Source organism: Homo sapiens, chromosome 5, assembly GCF_000001405.40.
Source record: "Homo sapiens chromosome 5, GRCh38.p14 Primary Assembly".
NCBI classification, from domain to species: domain Eukaryota; kingdom Metazoa; phylum Chordata; class Mammalia; order Primates; family Hominidae; genus Homo; species Homo sapiens.
Genome location: NC_000005.10, coordinates 67,146,709 through 67,163,056, shown reverse-complemented (window position 1 = coordinate 67,163,056; position 16,348 = coordinate 67,146,709). Strand labels below are relative to the sequence as shown.

The window sequence follows — 16,348 nt, the reverse complement described above, 5'->3', positions numbered from 1 at the left end:
GGTAAGATCAGCAAATTGTCTCAGCATTTAGCTAGTGGAATAAACACTTTTCAGATAAACCTCTCCAGGCCAAGGTTTAGCCCCATACTTCTTGACTTATTTGTTTGGTCAGAATAGCCACATCTTATGACCTCTCTATAAATCTGTCTTTATAATTTACACCTTCAACCTGCTTTCTTTCAGCTGGAACAAGCTTCATGTTTTTTGGGGACCTCACATGACTTTACCTCCCCTCCCCTCTGCTGTTTAGACCAGGAGACTCACTCACCAGATGGGAAGTCAGGGGTGGAGCGGTAGCTTGGTGTTGGAGACCGGGGAGACAAGCTATGAGTGGGGGAACCTGGGAGGCTCTCACCCGATGACAGGGATCTGTTCAAGCAGGAGAAACTTCGGCTGGTGTGGAGTAAAGGAGAAGGCTGCTTGGCTAGCTTTTTGAAAAGAGATCTCCTCCTACAGAAAAACAGGAAAAAATTGTTCAGTCTTCTTTCAGAACTATTGCTGCCTCCCCAAAATACCATTGTGCTCAGCTCAATAACTCCGTGTGAGGGACAGGGATACAACAGCAGATCCTATTAAAGAGCAGAACACCACTTTCCTATTAGAAACCTTCTTATGACATGTAAAGGAAGAGTATTTAATAGTAGACAATGGAGCCTCTCTCAATTCCAAACACTTAAGAAGAGTTGGAAAAATAGGAAAAATATAAAATGCATTAAAAATACATTCATTTACTTGTTAGGTATATGAGGAGGATGCTCTTTGCTTGAAAGCTTCTGAGTACCTACCCCTAAATATGCAGACACAACTTAACTAAGAGATAATACAAAGTAAACCTCTGGAAGCAAAACCATTGTATTGGAAATCAAATTCTTTAATGGTGATAGGCTGGGCAGAGGCCAATGAAGGGCTATTTGCTGTGCTTATTCCATTGTGGGCTCTTGAATATTCCTAACAACAATGCAGGCTGTACAACGACATAGAAAAAACCGAGAAAGGTGAAGCTGAAGCGTATCGTATCAGCAGGGCAGCAGACACTGTACTGCAGCAGAAGCAAATGTGGATTTGGTACTCAATGAGCACATCTTAAGGCAAAAGCACAGCTTCTGACACCTTAGCAGGGCATCGGGCTGTGCAAAGTTCTTTTACCATATAAGCCTATATATGGTAAGATCTAACCCACTCCACATAAGCTTAAAACAAAGTTTCTGGTTGCTAGCCCTTGAAACAATTTGTTCTAAATGATTTAAAGCACAGCCAAAATATAAAGCATAATAATAAAGAAGATCTTATGTGTGTGTAATTTTAATCAGAGTAATAAATGTACTTGGGTGAAAAAGTCAAATACTTCTATAAACATACAATGAAAAACAGCAACTCCTCTACTCGAATTTTTCTCTACTCCCCAAAGAAGTCGCTTTGTATTCTTTTACCTGTTTCTTCTCCCATTTGTCTACATATTGCTAAATGTTTGTACACTGCTATTTTTTAGTTTTTCAGTTTTAGAAATTACCTGTTGATTTTCTACTATGAAAGATGATAATTAAGCTCTTATACAACCACCTTCTACCTTGCAACCAAATATATTTCCCCTTTTCTATTCTTCCCAATATAGCGAAAGCAAAATTTTTGGTTAGAAAAACGGCCGGTATTTTATCTTATATTATAAATATTGTTCACAGCTGGGCCATATGAAACATAATTCTGTTCCTTTCTTGTATAACTTTTTTTCCCCCCAGAGTTAATACATGGCTTTTCGTTTGCTTGTTTTTCTACATTTCTATCATCAAAAATCCTTTTAATATGATGTGACTCATCAGGCCCAATTGAGTAAAGAAATGCTGTGGCATTGCAAAGGAGGCACACCCAGAGAGCTGCCTGGCAAGAAACAGCCCTGCCAGAAACACATACCTCTTGCTAGTGTCTGCAAGCAGCACAAAAAGATACTGATCAGTGCTTCCCAGGCTACAAAAGTATATAAGCTAGTTCGTTTTTCAGTGAGTAAAACAAAGCCCTTTTATTTCTAGGCTTATTCGGAACCTTTAAAGGTAACAGTAATTTTAGAATATCTGGCATTTTAAAAATAGCAACTGTTTGTTTTTTGATAACGTAAAGGACATTTTAAATGTAGATTTAATGTTAAAAACCACCTGAAGATCCAGTTCCTCAATCCAACTCAACTGAAATCAAGTGAAGAGGCTTAAAAAACAGCAAAGGGCTTTTCCTGACATTCACACATGATAAAAAACAATCTGAATCCTTCCACAATGTAAATATGTAAATCCTTTTACTATGGAAGTTGATGCTATTATGAATATGGATTTTAATGTATACATATATGTGAACCATAACATAAAATTTCTCACAGAAAAATAGATCTTCTTCATATATAAGCATTTAATTAAGGGGTAACTTTTCCCCAACATAGGTATACACCAAACTTAAAAAGAATACTGATTTTACTAACCTTTCGAGACTTTCTTTCTTCTTGGATTTCTTGCTCCGCCTCACCATCCGGCTCTTATAGCTGTTTCTCCTGGCTGGTCCAGTTTTGATTGATGTGTTTTCAAATGGGGTAGTAGTGATTGACACCTTATTCCCACTCTAAAGAAAAGATGAGGTGGCATTAAAGGGAAATGCTGTGATGAAGCAAGATCAGAACAGAGATGAGAGATTCATAGACAAATACAAATAGAAAGGAACATACATATAAAAGGCCTTCTGTTTCTAAATAACCCTTCAATCAAAGAAGTCCTGCCAGAATACAAACTGGGTGGAAGGCAAAATATGAAGTTTCTTTACGAGGGTGAGTTCTGGAGTCCACAGATCTGAGTTCAAATCCAAGCACTGTGCCCTTACCAGGCTGCTACCCTCCCTACCCTCAACTTCCTGTACCAATTAACAATATAATCCTACCTATCTCCTGGGGCTCATTTGAGGATCACATGAGAGCAAGTCTGTAAAGCCTTTTGCACCCAGTGCAACACAAGGAAAGAACACTATAAATAAGATAACTACTTCTTCCACAGGTATTAAGTATTAATGTTCCCAGTGGCTGGCTGCTCTTGGTTGATTTTTCTTTTTTCTCCTTTTTGTGTTTTTCCTTTGGCCTAAAAATTGTAGAGTAACAAAACCGAATGAGACTTTTATTTTTAATTATTTTAAAAGGCTCCTTTTCTATCACCATAAAACCTATCAGTTTGCAGAGCTGGAACATTTATGCCAGCCAGTAGGAAACCTCTTTTTAACCAGGTCATACAGGGTAAGGTAATTTCTGTGAGTTTCGGTGTCCTTTCTCTCAATCCTGGGAAGGGGCTTGCTGGGCAGCCTCTAGGGATGGAACTGAGCGTGGAGTCAGCAGTCAGGCCGAGGGGGGCCCAGGGCAGGTGGGTAGTCCCTGGCATCAATTACCCTTCCTGAATTTCATAATAACCAGGGGAGAAACCTGTCCTTTCAAGGTCACAGATGGCCCCGATTACCATGAAAGTACAAGAGGTACAAGGAAAAGGATCTTTTTAAAGGCCCATGCCTGGAAGATACCTAGAGCTCAGCTCAACATGGTACCAAGTGAAGGGGAGTTGGGGGGAGTTAGGTATGGTGGCAGCAGAGGACTGAAAAGACAGGGAATGACTGTCTTAAAGATAGCATCTACCTTCCCCCTTGATTTGGGAAGTAATCCATGCTACAGTAAGAAGATAATAGGAAAGTATTAAAAAAAAATTAAGAAGCTTACCACCCAACCACTAGTCATATTTCAGTATATTTCCTGCTGGTTTTTTCTCACGCATGTGTAAATAGGCACATATGTACACATGCTTTATAACTAATTTAAATCTCAGTTTATTTACAGCTTTATGTTGCTTTTTCATTGCACATTATATAATTTGGAAAAATTTTCCCTTTATCATTAAATAATCTTTAAAAACATGATTTTTACTGGCTGAGCAATATATCCGATCAGATGGGTGAATCAAAATTATGTAATATTTCCTTACTGCTATTGTTCTCTTTTTTTGTTGTTTTTTGAGACACAGTTTCACTCTTGTTGCCCAGGCTGGAGTGCAATGGCACGATCTCGGCTCACTGCAACCTCTACCTCCCAGGTTCAAGTGATTCTCCTGCCTCAGCCTCCCAGGTAGCTGGGATTACAGGCATGTGCAACCAGGCCTGGCTAATTTTGTATTTTTAGTAAAGATAGGGTTTCTCCATGTTGGTCAGGCTGGTCTTGAACTCCTGACCTCAGGCGATCTGCCTGCGTTGGCCTCCCAAAGTACTGGGATTACAGGCATGAGCTACCGTGCCCAGCTGATTATTTTCTGTGTTTAAATTCTTACACAGTTTGATGTTGTCCCTTATTTAGTTTGGTTATTTGTATTTCTTTAAGAAATGATTTATTCAGTCTTACATCCAGTTTAATATTGGAAGGTCTTAGTATTTTATTATTAGTTTTAGAGTTCTTTAATTTTTTTTAATTAAAAAAAATTTTTTTGAGATGGGGTCTTCCTCTATTGCCCAGGTTGGAGTGCAGTGGTGTGATCACAGCTCACCACAGCCTCGAACTCCTGGGCTCAAGCAATCCTCCTGCCTCACCCTCTGAGTAGCTGGGATTACGGGAGCACACAACCACGGCTGACTTAGAATTCTGTGTGTGTTTAAGACAATATACTTTCATACCTAATGTCATATTTGCAGGAAATATTTTAGGGAAAGGGGGCTTTAACTTCAACAAGAGAAAAAAGTTTATTTTGTTTTCTATCGCAAAATAATAAACATTCTTCATGCAAGCCCCAAAACATTAAAAATAAACCTTTATCTGATAGTAGAGATGGCATTCTAGTTGTTCTTTAATGAGAAAAATCATTTTGTAAGTATGTAAGGTCTACCACTGAAGGTTTTTTGGAGTGGGGTCTTCTCTTCACAAATTGAGGCCATGCTGAAATTTTAGTATTTCCTGTGGTGAAGGAAAGGGGCAACAAGCATGGCGAGTTCCTGTGTCACTGATGTTCCTTCAGTCCTCTTCCATATGCAGAGAGTGGACGTGCAGAACCATAATGACCGCTGGGGCTATACTACCATGTGTGCCACTAGAGCTGGAATCCAGTTCCACTCTTTTCTAATACAATTCAGGATTGACTTTTTAAAAGCATAGATTTATTTTTAAACCATTTTCATATATATTCTCTAAATTTATTTTCACAAACAAGTCGTAAGCGTTGTTTGTTTCACCCTCATGGCCTAGAAGAGTTTGTTATCCTTCCTTTACAGGTAAAGAAAACGGATTCTGAGACAACAGACAACAAGGTTCTTGTTTCCGAGGTCACTGAGAGTCCAGTGGAAAAGCCCATGCTGGCTCTCTTGCTGCTCACCCCCAAAGCTCCTCCTACCAAACCCCGCTCCCTGTGGGCAGGGAATGCCCCCCAGTCCTCTCCATCTCTCCTGAGCCTGGCACAGTGCATAGCTGGTACTTAATGAGTGGCGGTAAGGGAAACAGGCACTTGATTGACACGTGGCATGGTAAAAGTATAAGACTGTCAAGATAAAATGAAGGAGCCATAAACATATAAAATTGTATGAGACACATATAAATCCTCAACATACTTATCATCAGAAAACAGTGAAGACCAGGGCTTAAATGACAGCACATCACTAGACTCAGTACAAATGCTCCTACCCCTATAAAGACCAAGCCCAGTTCTGTTTCTTGTCTCCACAAGTGGCTGTTCCAGAGGAAAATTCATTTAACTTACAGGCATACGCCAAAGACAACTTCTCTAAGGGGAAATACAGACACAAAGGATGCAGAGTACAATAATTAGGTTGGAAGCATTAATGGTTACAAAAATGGTAAATGATTGGAAAAATGATAGGTGAGATTTGTGAAGCCTGCCACCTGGTGGATCCATCCAGCTACAGCGAGTGCTACCTGAACTGCTCAAGGTGGCTTACTAGGTCGATTTACCCACAATTAACTTCTCTTGATTAATGACTGACCTTGTATAGAAGAATTTCTGTAGCACTTGTTTAAAAAAATAACAAAAATGCAGCTGGCAGACTGTTAAATGTTCAATTAATTCACTTTTACTTTAAACTATTTTCATGACTGGTGCACAGTGTGAAGAAAATTATTTCAAGTTGCCGGAATTGAATACAATAGCAGAAGTCAGGCTGTCCAATTTCTTCTCTGGGTCTGGCTCTAAGTTAACTTATCAGTTTGGCCCTGGGTAACTCACCGAACGACTGCTTTTGCATTTCCTTCTCTGGAAAGCACAGATGGGAGATGGGCCCATTGCATCCCTGCGGCCTCAACCCCTTCACTACCCAATCTTGGCCATCTTGCACACTGTATCCTCACATTAACCCAGGCTTCAGCCTGCTGGTTCACTTGTATACCTCATAAACCTTGAGATCTCCTGTCCTCATGTTTACACACCTCATCATTTGGCCTAGACTATCCCGCACCCCTGACTATATACTGAATTGCCACTCATCCATCAAAGCCTTGCACAGATAACCCTCAATTCTTTGACGCCATTCCTGTCCACCCTGGAGAAAAGTCATCCCTCTTTTGGAACTTCTGCCGTGTTTATAGTCTGTTACTTAAGTTGAACACTTTGATTTTAGCCTGGTATGGCCACTGTTTCCCCCTGTGAACAGCAGACTTTAAGTTACTGGCAGCTGGAGAGTATGTACAGCACACATGTAGAGCAGTGTGCTGTGGTAGTGGAAAAAGTGCAGGCTCCGGAGCTACATCGCCTGGGTGCAAATCATCTTATACTCCTTTCCAGCAGATAAGCTTAGATTGCTTTGTTATCTTCTTCTGCTTTTGTTTTTTTCATCTGTGAAATGGGAACATTTATATTTATAGCACCCACCTCAGAAGGTAACTGTTTGGATTACATGCGTTTATTCCCGTAAAACCATTGACAAGAGTGTGGCAGGCATCAAGAGCGCTTGCCCCATTAACTATTATCCTTACGTGTCTTTTTTTTTTTTTTTTTCTTGAGACGGAATCTCACTCTGTCGCCCAGGCTGGAGTGCAGTGGCGCTATCTTGGCCCACTGCAACCTCCGCCTCCCGGGTTCAAGAAATTCTCTGTCTCAGCCTCCTGAGTAGCTGGGATTACAGGCGCCCACCACCACGCCCAGCTAATTTTTGTACTTTTAGTAGAGATGGGGTTTCGCCATCTTGGCCAGGCTGGTCTTGAACTCCTGACCTCGTGATCGCCCCACCTCGGCCTCCCAAAGTGCTGGGATTACGGGTATGAGCCACTGTGCCTGGCCCTTATGTGTCATTTTTGTTTGGCCCTTGCAGTATTTTGCACATCAGCTCTGTGCACATCAGCGGCTTGACAGATATGGGAGGATGGTAATCAAGCTATTTGATGGCCCCCATTTTAGTACACTGAAGCTCCCCAGTGTCCATGGAAAGGAAATTTCTGAAGCAGAGGCTGGTAAAGTTTTACGGCTTCTCCTATGCATTGGGGATTTAAACTAATGCTATACTTAAAAAGCAACTTGGTTGAAAAGAAAGTTTCTTAGATCACAGAAGTTAAGCCTGGCTAATTGGAACAGGTAATGGGACTGGGCCAAGTATCGTCTCCACCTGTAATGCTAGTGGGTGAAGAATGACCTCGGTCTACTTAAAAAGTTGTTTTTAGAAAGACTGATGCTGTCTAAAAGCTTTCCTCATGGCAGGAAAGCTTTGAGGTGAAGCTGAAGGAGGACACTGTCAGGGATTCATATAGCCAGTGGGGAGCTGAACTGGATAACCATCACATTTTATAATTCCATGGATCGAGGATGCTGAGTGACTTTGGACAAGTTTGCCTATGCATGGAAGATAGTGCTCCCATAGCAGGTTCACTTTGAAGTTGTGAAGGTAAACAAGACCAAATATGTGAATCTATGAAACATGGAAAATGCTTACTATATTCATAATCCAAAAGACAAACACTATACAGGTAGTCATGCAGTTCTAAACATACACCTACACCCCTGTCAGGACTTCTCCACCTTTCTCTAAGACTGCCATGACATTCCGTAAAGTCCTTTGCAAGTATAAAACACTGTGTAAACAGCATTCGAGAGTACCATAATACAGCCAACTTCCCTGCTGTTAAACCAATGAAGGCACACAGGAGCCCAGCACTGACACTAGTCACTTAATACTCTGATTTCAAGAGTCACTGGTTAAATTTGGAAGGAAGCTGCATGATTACACAGTTCACTGGGAAGATAATTAAATCCCTTGTATCCTCTTGGTTTCATGACATTGCTTACTCCTCTTGAGTGCTTCCTTTATGAACACAGGCAGGATGTTCTTTGGATTTGTGACAGAGTACACCGTGGCTTCAAAGGGTGCCAATGGCTCTCCACTCCACTGTTTAAGCAGTTTCAGTGACACACATCGACTGCATCCAGAAATGAAGGCTTTGGGTTGTGCAAGGTGCTCCGTAGCCAGATGAGGGCAAGACAATAGAAATGGGATCATCTGAGTCTGCTAAGAGACCTTGCCAGAGTCCTCTAGGGGAAATACACATTCAAATTTCATAGAAGCAGGAAGAGAAGTTTTAAAATACAGAATTCTATTAAAATACTTTACAAAATAAATCACGAAAGTGATCAATTATGTCTCAGCAAAATAAGCAAATGTATACTTCTCAATATATACATTTCAGTGTATTATTTCTTATTCTAATGTTGTGAACAGACATATGATACTATCTAGAGATATGCTGTCGCAGGAGCTGTTCTGCATAAAATACAACGCTGCTATAAAGAATGAAAAAGACAAATCAAATAACTGAACAGAACTATCTGAGAGCTATCTGAGAGGATCAGTGTGTGTCCTTTCTCTCTCTCCATTTACAGTCATGCTTCCTGTGACCTTCTTACTCCATAGGCTATATTCTGCTTACATTTTAAGTAGAAATTGATCCCTGTTTAAGTTAATTTGTATGGTGGGGAGGGAGGCCTAATAATTGCTAGAACTTCTTCTTTCAGTACCACTTATTTTTTATAATTTATAGTACATGTGTATATATTTACAATTTTATCTTTCAAAGGAACTCTAATTCTCAGACTAAACCTTCAGATCAAACCTCACAGTTTAATACAATTTTGTCTTCTAGTATACTAGAATGAAACCTGTTAGAAGTTCCTGAAGGAAGTCACCTTCAGGATAGGTGACTCTCCAAATAGATGTCACTGTGTAAGGTATATAAACAAAGAGAATTCTTACTACTTACAATTTAGAATGAGAAGCAAAATTAAATTAGGGAATGAGTATGCAGATATAAGGACATTATTTCATGACATAAAACCAGAGAATTCATAATATCTTTGTCTTTAAACTTGAGACTAATGAATACTTTCTCAGTAATCAGACATGGGTGTGACACAGGGAAATCAATCTCCTGGTACTAGCCCCTTTGGGCTGCCTGTCTCATCAGCATGGCCCTGACATAAAACATACAATACCTTCAGTAGGAGTTCTATAACTTCTGTGTGGACAAGTCCATGCACTGGTTCTCCATTGATGTGAGTGATAAGATCTCCAGCCTTCAGTCCTGCCTGGCATGCCGGACTTCCTTCTTCTACATTCTAAAGTCCAAGAGGAGAGGATATTTGTAGGCAAACAAATGACTACTCTAACACCTACTGTGTCTTCTGGGAGAATAATGAGTTAATTAGCAAATGTCCTAAGCCTCTAATAGAAAATCTAACAGGTACGTTTACTATTCCTATTCTATCATTATTCTAAAATAGGAAACTTTCTATGGTACTTAGAAATTTTCAGGTGATTCAGACTGAAAGTACCAGAGCCACAAAGAAAAAAAAATGAATGACCAAAACATTTCAGGTGATTTGAGAAGGTCATTTTTAAAAAGAAGGCTAGGAAAAAATGATAAAATAAAAGAAGGATGGAAATAGGATTGCCTTTGACTATGTCTACCAGCTTGGTATGTAAGAAAGAACAATCGAATATGAAAACTGGACAGAATTATGAGATATTCGTTTTTGCTAAATTCAATTCCACCATACACATACAGGGATGGAGCTCTAAAAGGAAAATGAAACAGGTCGCAAATGCAAGCTTAAAAGTAAATATATTTGCTATTTATCAGCCAACCTATCCACTCTCCAGCTTGGCTGGAAATGAAAAATCCCAAGTGCGAGACATGCAGGTCTTACCCAGACGATATGGTGCACTGTATAGATGTCACTGTCTCCCACATACACCCGGATGGCTCGGATGGTAAAGCCGTAGTTCTTCCCCGAACTGTGGATCACAATCGGCTGATGTGGACTGGCAGAAGCTGCTGAGGAATCTCGGCTGGGAGAGGAATCTCGTGAAGAAGAAGGGTCCGAGGACAGGGAATGGGGAGACATTGGACTTCCCAGAGGGGAAACAGCAAACATATCTGTAACAAAGAAGCCAGTCATCAAAGCCCATGTGGCTCACACAAGCATCCATGCAGGCAACCCTCACCCCATGAGCCTTGCCAGGACTGGGGGCATAGTCACAACACAAATCCATTTGTTTCCAATAGCAAAATGAAGATGAAATAATACAAAAATGTTTCTATCAGTAACTAGCATGAATTCCAAAACTGTCAAACTTCAAGAGTGTTGCTATTTTAACTAATTTTTCAGTTAGGAAAGAGAAAGAAATTTCAATACTCTCATGTTATAATTTTTTAGTTTCTATGCTTATTAAAAGACACCACAAGGATTAGCCTCTGGCTGTGACATTTTTACTTAATGTTTTATTTTAAGTAAAGAAATAAATCATAGATGCATATATTTCAAGTATGTCTTCATGTGGAGAAGACTGTATGTATTATATTAACAGATACTGGATTCCAAATTCTTCACTAAACAATTTTAACATGGTCCTTTTCAACACACATGGCCAGGAAAGCAATTTATCAATTTACCAGCTGATTTCTACAATGCTATTAAATGAATACTGATTAAAGAATTTTAACTGGCCGGGTGTAGTGGCTCACACCTGTAATCCCAGCACTTTTGAGAGGCCAAGGTAGGCTGGTCGCTTGAGCCCAGGAGTTCAAGACAAGCCAGGTAATATGGCTAAACCCTGTCTCTACAAATAATACAAAAAATTAGCCAGGAAAGGTGGCATGTGCCTGTAGTCCCAGCTACGTGGGAGACTGAGGTGAGAGGATCACCTAAGCCTGGGAGGTCGAGGCTGCAGTGAGCCGTGACTGTGCCATGGCACTCCAGCCTAGGCGACAGAGCAAGACCCTATCTCAAAAAAAAAAAAAAAAAAGAAAAAAAGAAGAAAAAAAAAAAGGAAAGAATTTTTAATCAGGAAAACAATGAAGTGGTGACTTCTCTATAAATGAATAACATTACTGTGGTGACAACTGATTCTCTACATATATTACTTGCAATTCTAATAAGGTTTCTGAGAGGCTAATGCAGGTGAGATAGAGAAACCTGAAGAGAATCTCATTGCATATTCCAAAACACCAAATCTACTGCTTTCTTTGTTTTAGAAGCAAACTGCTATGCTCTGAATGTCTGTGTCCCCCTAAAATTCCTATGTTGAAAACTAACCCCCAAGGTAATGGTTTTAAGAGGTGGGGCCTCTGGGAGGTGATTAGGTCATGAGGGCTCTGCCCCTCATAAATGAATTAGTGCCCTTATACAAGAGGCTGCAGAGAGCTTGTTCTTCCCTTCTGCCATGTGAGGAAATAGAGAAGGTGCTGTCCATGAGGAACAAGCCCTTGTCAGATGCTGAAACTGTCGCCACCTTGATCTTGGACTTCCCAGGCTCTAGAACTGTGATCAACAAATTCTGTTATTTATACCTTACCCAGTCTAAAGTATTTTGTTATAGCAGCAGAAATGAATGCTTTTTAGTTCATATCCTTGTTTCATCTACGTGAATCTAAACAGATCTTAACTGGTCATGTGAAACTGTCTGTGTGTGTGTGCACTTGAGAAAAGGCAGAATAATCTACAAAACATGCTGCGGTTTAAACATGAGCTCGGTTGGAGCCAGGCTACAAAGTTCCCAGTGCTACTGAAGGCTCACCAGGGTGTGGTGAGTTCCATTGTGGCTACCGTAAGCTGAAAGTATCCATACTACCCACTATTTCAATTCTTATGCTTGTTCAAAGAAGAGCAAAGCCAACTGTATCATGACCCATGCTCCTTCCCTCTCTGACTTCATGTAGCATCTTGGCTGTCTTCTGCTGGCTCTCTTCTGTCTAATCAAAGGACAGGGGAAGAGATGCATGCTGGCAGGCAGGGAACTTCAAGACATGCAGGTGGGAGGAGGTCACTGTGGACACACATAGATCCCAAACTGCTGAAAGGCCAGGCCCCCACTTCTTTACCTTCTGATGGTCTCCCTTATCTCCCCAAATCAAATAATTTCCTTGTTCTACCAAAGTACGGGCTTCCTAACCAGCTTTCAAAACTGCACTGGCCCATATCCAACTTACCTTCCCATCTGTGCAGCTGCACCAGGACCATCATCTTCAGCTTATGAAGAGTCACACAGACTAGGGATACAGGTGTTTGTTTTATGGTGCTAAACAGGACACCTCCCAGAAACTGAATCTGCTAGATTGAGCACTACTCCCAAATGAGCATTTGTTTATGTCAAATTGCTTTCTGCACAAATATGAAGCTTCAAAAACATAAACAATGCCTTTTATACATGATCTGTTTTCTTCCAAAAACAAGCCATCTGCAATATAATTCGAGTCCCATTCTACTCTCTTGCTGTCATTTGAGTGATATCACAACCATCAGGGTGTATATTTCATTTCTGCCAGTGGGATTACTACAGAGTTAGTGATCAGTAGTGGCAAAACCAGTTTGTGGGAAAATACTACAATTCAACAAAACCTTAATTAAGCCCAGTTTTCCAAAACAGGGCAGAAGATGATTTGCTACCAGTAGGAGGAAGCATAGCTCAACTGACAGGGTTGGGAAAACCTAGAATTTCAATGCTGTCTGTGACTCTATCTCCAGAAATGAAAAGCTTAACTATTTTCCTCATTAATTAGATGAGAAAAACTATATACTTAGCTTTCCAACACAAATGTTGTAAACAGCTCTATAAAGTGTATAAATTATACATACTCTAGAGAAAAAAAATTATTCAAGGAAGGAAAATTTATCATTTAACTTGGAGGGAGAAAAGAAAACGAAAGGAAACAAAACAGAAACAAGCTTTCATGGGAAGGAAGCCTCTCTTGTACCCCTGATGCAGAAAGTGAGATGAAATAGGCCAAAATGCTCCTTGGCGGCCCTACAAATCCTGCAGGAAGAATTCAGAGTCTGCAGGCAGAAGCTCTCAAGAGCTGTCCTGGGACATGACCCGTTATTACTTCAAGCAATCTTGCATCTCATTCAGCATTCCAAATTGGGAGAGGAGGGATGGGACCACATGCACAAATCACACAATTTCATGCAAGTAGTATCTCTCTACCTCCTGGGATCATGAGGGAAAGAGCACTGGCAGAGAGGGACTTTGTGACTTTCCCCGAGATTTTCTTTTTTTCTGTGCTTTCTAATCGCTGCCGAGCCATGTGAGAAGCGGGTTCACTGGATGGCTTTGAGGAATTATCTGTACTGTCCACACACTCGCTTCGTCCATTTATCTGATCCAAGTGCTCTGAAAAACTGCCAACTGTACAAAGAAGAAGGGATAAACACATTCAGGAAAATCCAGGATAGGAGAGGTGGGAAGACGGGAAGAGAGAGACAGCAGGAAGAGTAAACGCCAGAGAACATACTCCTATGTGGCCAGTAAGTCCAGACGGTGTCAGGCGAACATTAACAACATGTGATTGCTTTGAGAAAGGTGACGTGGAGGAGGAAGAGATGGAAGAGGCATCTATTCAGGCTTCATTCTACCTGTACACAAGTCTGCTAATTCTCAATCCATGACTCCATGTAACCAGAGGAATTAGTTTCTTTCAACAATCTATATTTTTGAAACCTTGCAGAGATAATTCTGGTGCCCCTACCCCCCCCATACCATGAAAGGCTGTGCCATGAATCAAATATTACCTCCCAAACACCATGGCCGCCCACTTCATACTGTGATTACCTTATGATACTGATGATTATCATTATCAATGCTGTTAATTATAATTTTGACCTGTGGACATTTTTTCATCACTCCCTGTAGACTTACGTCTGTGCTGTTAGAACACACCTCATACTAGGCTGAGGCAAGTAACTGATAGAAAAGTGCCTAAAGTGTCTCTTCTCACTTCTCAGGCCATATGCCTCCTTTCATTCTAAGCTCCCTGTACATTTCAAAGGACAAGCAAGACAAAGGATATTACTCCCTCCATTACTCAAGTTCACTTCATCCTGCTGGCTTTTAATCCAGTGTATCATATGCTGATCCTCCCTCATGCTATTTCCTCTCCCCTCTAAACCACACCTTCTTTACTTTTAATTTTGTTAATCTTTAATATAAACTGGAGTTATTTTTAACTTAAAAAAAATTAGGGCTTCCCTCAACAACGGAGCGTAAGAGAGGATAAATATGGAGGGGGGTGCAGAAATGGAACATCACTGACCCTGGTCTGGTGAATGCAGAGGCCGAGAGTAAAGAAAGCTCTGCAGCAGGGTGACATTTTGAGTCCCCCAGAAGGAAGCTGAACAGCTATTCCTTTTGATTTGTCCTACTTTTTCTTTCCCAGGTTATCGGTTTTCTATCGTGTTTTTCTTTAAAAACATCATTGATAGCACATTTTTGTCCATCCAGGAGAGAAAATGCTCATCTCATTTTACTTCTACATGCTACATTATAAGCCCCATGTGCTTAAAAATCATCAACTGTCTCATCACCTTTAGAGATACAATCCATGCAGAGTATTAACACCACTATAAATGATCCTTTGAAAGAGCGGCCAGCACATTTCGAAGTGCTGACCATATGACACTGTTTGCCTGGGAAAGAGTTAGACTTAGACTCAACTAGCATTTCTCTTACACTGCTGTCTATATACCACTCAGTGGTATGGTTGTAGTTTGGCCCACGCTCATGGACAAAGTTCAGATCTTACAGCTGTGGTCTAGGCTAAGGGTAGCTGGGAACTTGGACAGCAGCTTTAGTCATAGCACACTTTGTGGTCATCTACTGTGCATATGTACAGGAAAAGATTCATGGACTTCCACATAACACCCATCTGACCAACAAAGGGAGATAACCTTAAGGCAAATATCAATGTTTTTACTCCTATATGCTAAACTCATTCTCATTTAACAGAATATTCCATTCTCTTACAGAAATCAGCTACTGAAGGTCTTGATAAAAACTGCTTCACAAGTAATAAATCTCATCTCACAAAACTTAAGCTTCCCATTGAGTAAGGTACACACTTCCTTCTTTGTAATTTGGTTTGGATGGGATCACTGACAAGTATAAAATGAAAAGCTGAATCTCTTTACAATGAGTAATTGTTGGATACGTTTGACCCCTACATCTAAGACTTCAAGACGTTTATTTTTCATGGCTTCAAACACAATGTAGTCATGATAAAAGAGAAACATGTATAAAGTTGTACTTCCCTAAATGCCAGAGTGTGGATATACAACCTTGTGTCACCTCTCCCTCTTGCCTCTGCCATCTTATTTTGCAGCACTGCATATAAGCGTGAGCTTCTTTTCTGCCAATGGTAGATAATGTCACTTTAATGTTCTCTAAATGTCAAGGGTTCCTTCTTTTTGGTGGTGGAGCAATATAAAAATCAACAAATTTAATTTTACTACAGTCACGGTTTTCAGACTTCCTAATTACCCTTGGCTATAAGCAAATCAGCTCATCTCTCTATTCTGCACAGCCCCCAAGGCCTTTGATTATTTTTAGTGTGCGTATGGGGGAGAGAGAGAGAGAGAGAAAGATGGTGTGAATCTATTAATCAAAATGCATGGCAGGACCTAGGTGAATTTTTTTTTTAATTATGAAAGTAATCAATCAAATGCTTAGACACGATTCCCCTCCCTTCCCCTCCTACCTTTCCGGTAGTGAGCAGGCTGAGGAGACTAAGAGATAGTAAACAGTTCACTATATTAAGAAAAAAATTTTAAATGGAGGTGAATATACTCTATTCAGAGTAAGGTAACTAAGAACCAGATAAAGGCCTTTGTAACCAGGAATAGAAAATACCAAGATATCTACATATGATCTGAGCATCAGCATGAACTAGAGATGGTCAGGCATCTTAGTCTAATAGGTTGCCTTTACACTACTTCCTCATTGCTGTTCTCTTGGCTTTATGATTAGGATAAGTGGAATTACGCAACATGAAAACAGAACTGAAGTGAAGACAGAGAAGAAAATCCAACATTAT

The 16,348-nt window shown here is 40.3% G+C and overlaps 1 protein-coding gene across 28 annotated transcripts in view; it reads right to left on the bottom strand.

Moving 5' to 3' along the window:
• Positions 1-16,348, bottom strand: part of MAST4 (microtubule associated serine/threonine kinase family member 4) — a 573,201-nt gene that overhangs the window by 6,537 nt on the left and 550,316 nt on the right. For 18 of the 28 annotated variants that reach the window (XM_024446044.2, XM_047417157.1, NM_001393524.1 and 15 more), the window contains 5 exons: positions 13,468-13,668; positions 10,191-10,420; positions 9,477-9,599; positions 2,465-2,601; positions 269-450 (listed from right to left, as the gene is read on the bottom strand). In XM_024446044.2, the coding sequence (XP_024301812.1) occupies positions 269-450; positions 2,465-2,601; positions 9,477-9,599; positions 10,191-10,420; positions 13,468-13,668 (873 nt within the window). The remainder of the gene's footprint in view (positions 1-268; positions 451-2,464; positions 2,602-9,476; positions 9,600-10,190; positions 10,421-13,467; positions 13,669-16,348) is intronic. The other 10 variants (XM_047417158.1, NM_001393525.1, XM_047417160.1 and 7 more) reach the window with 1 other exon arrangement.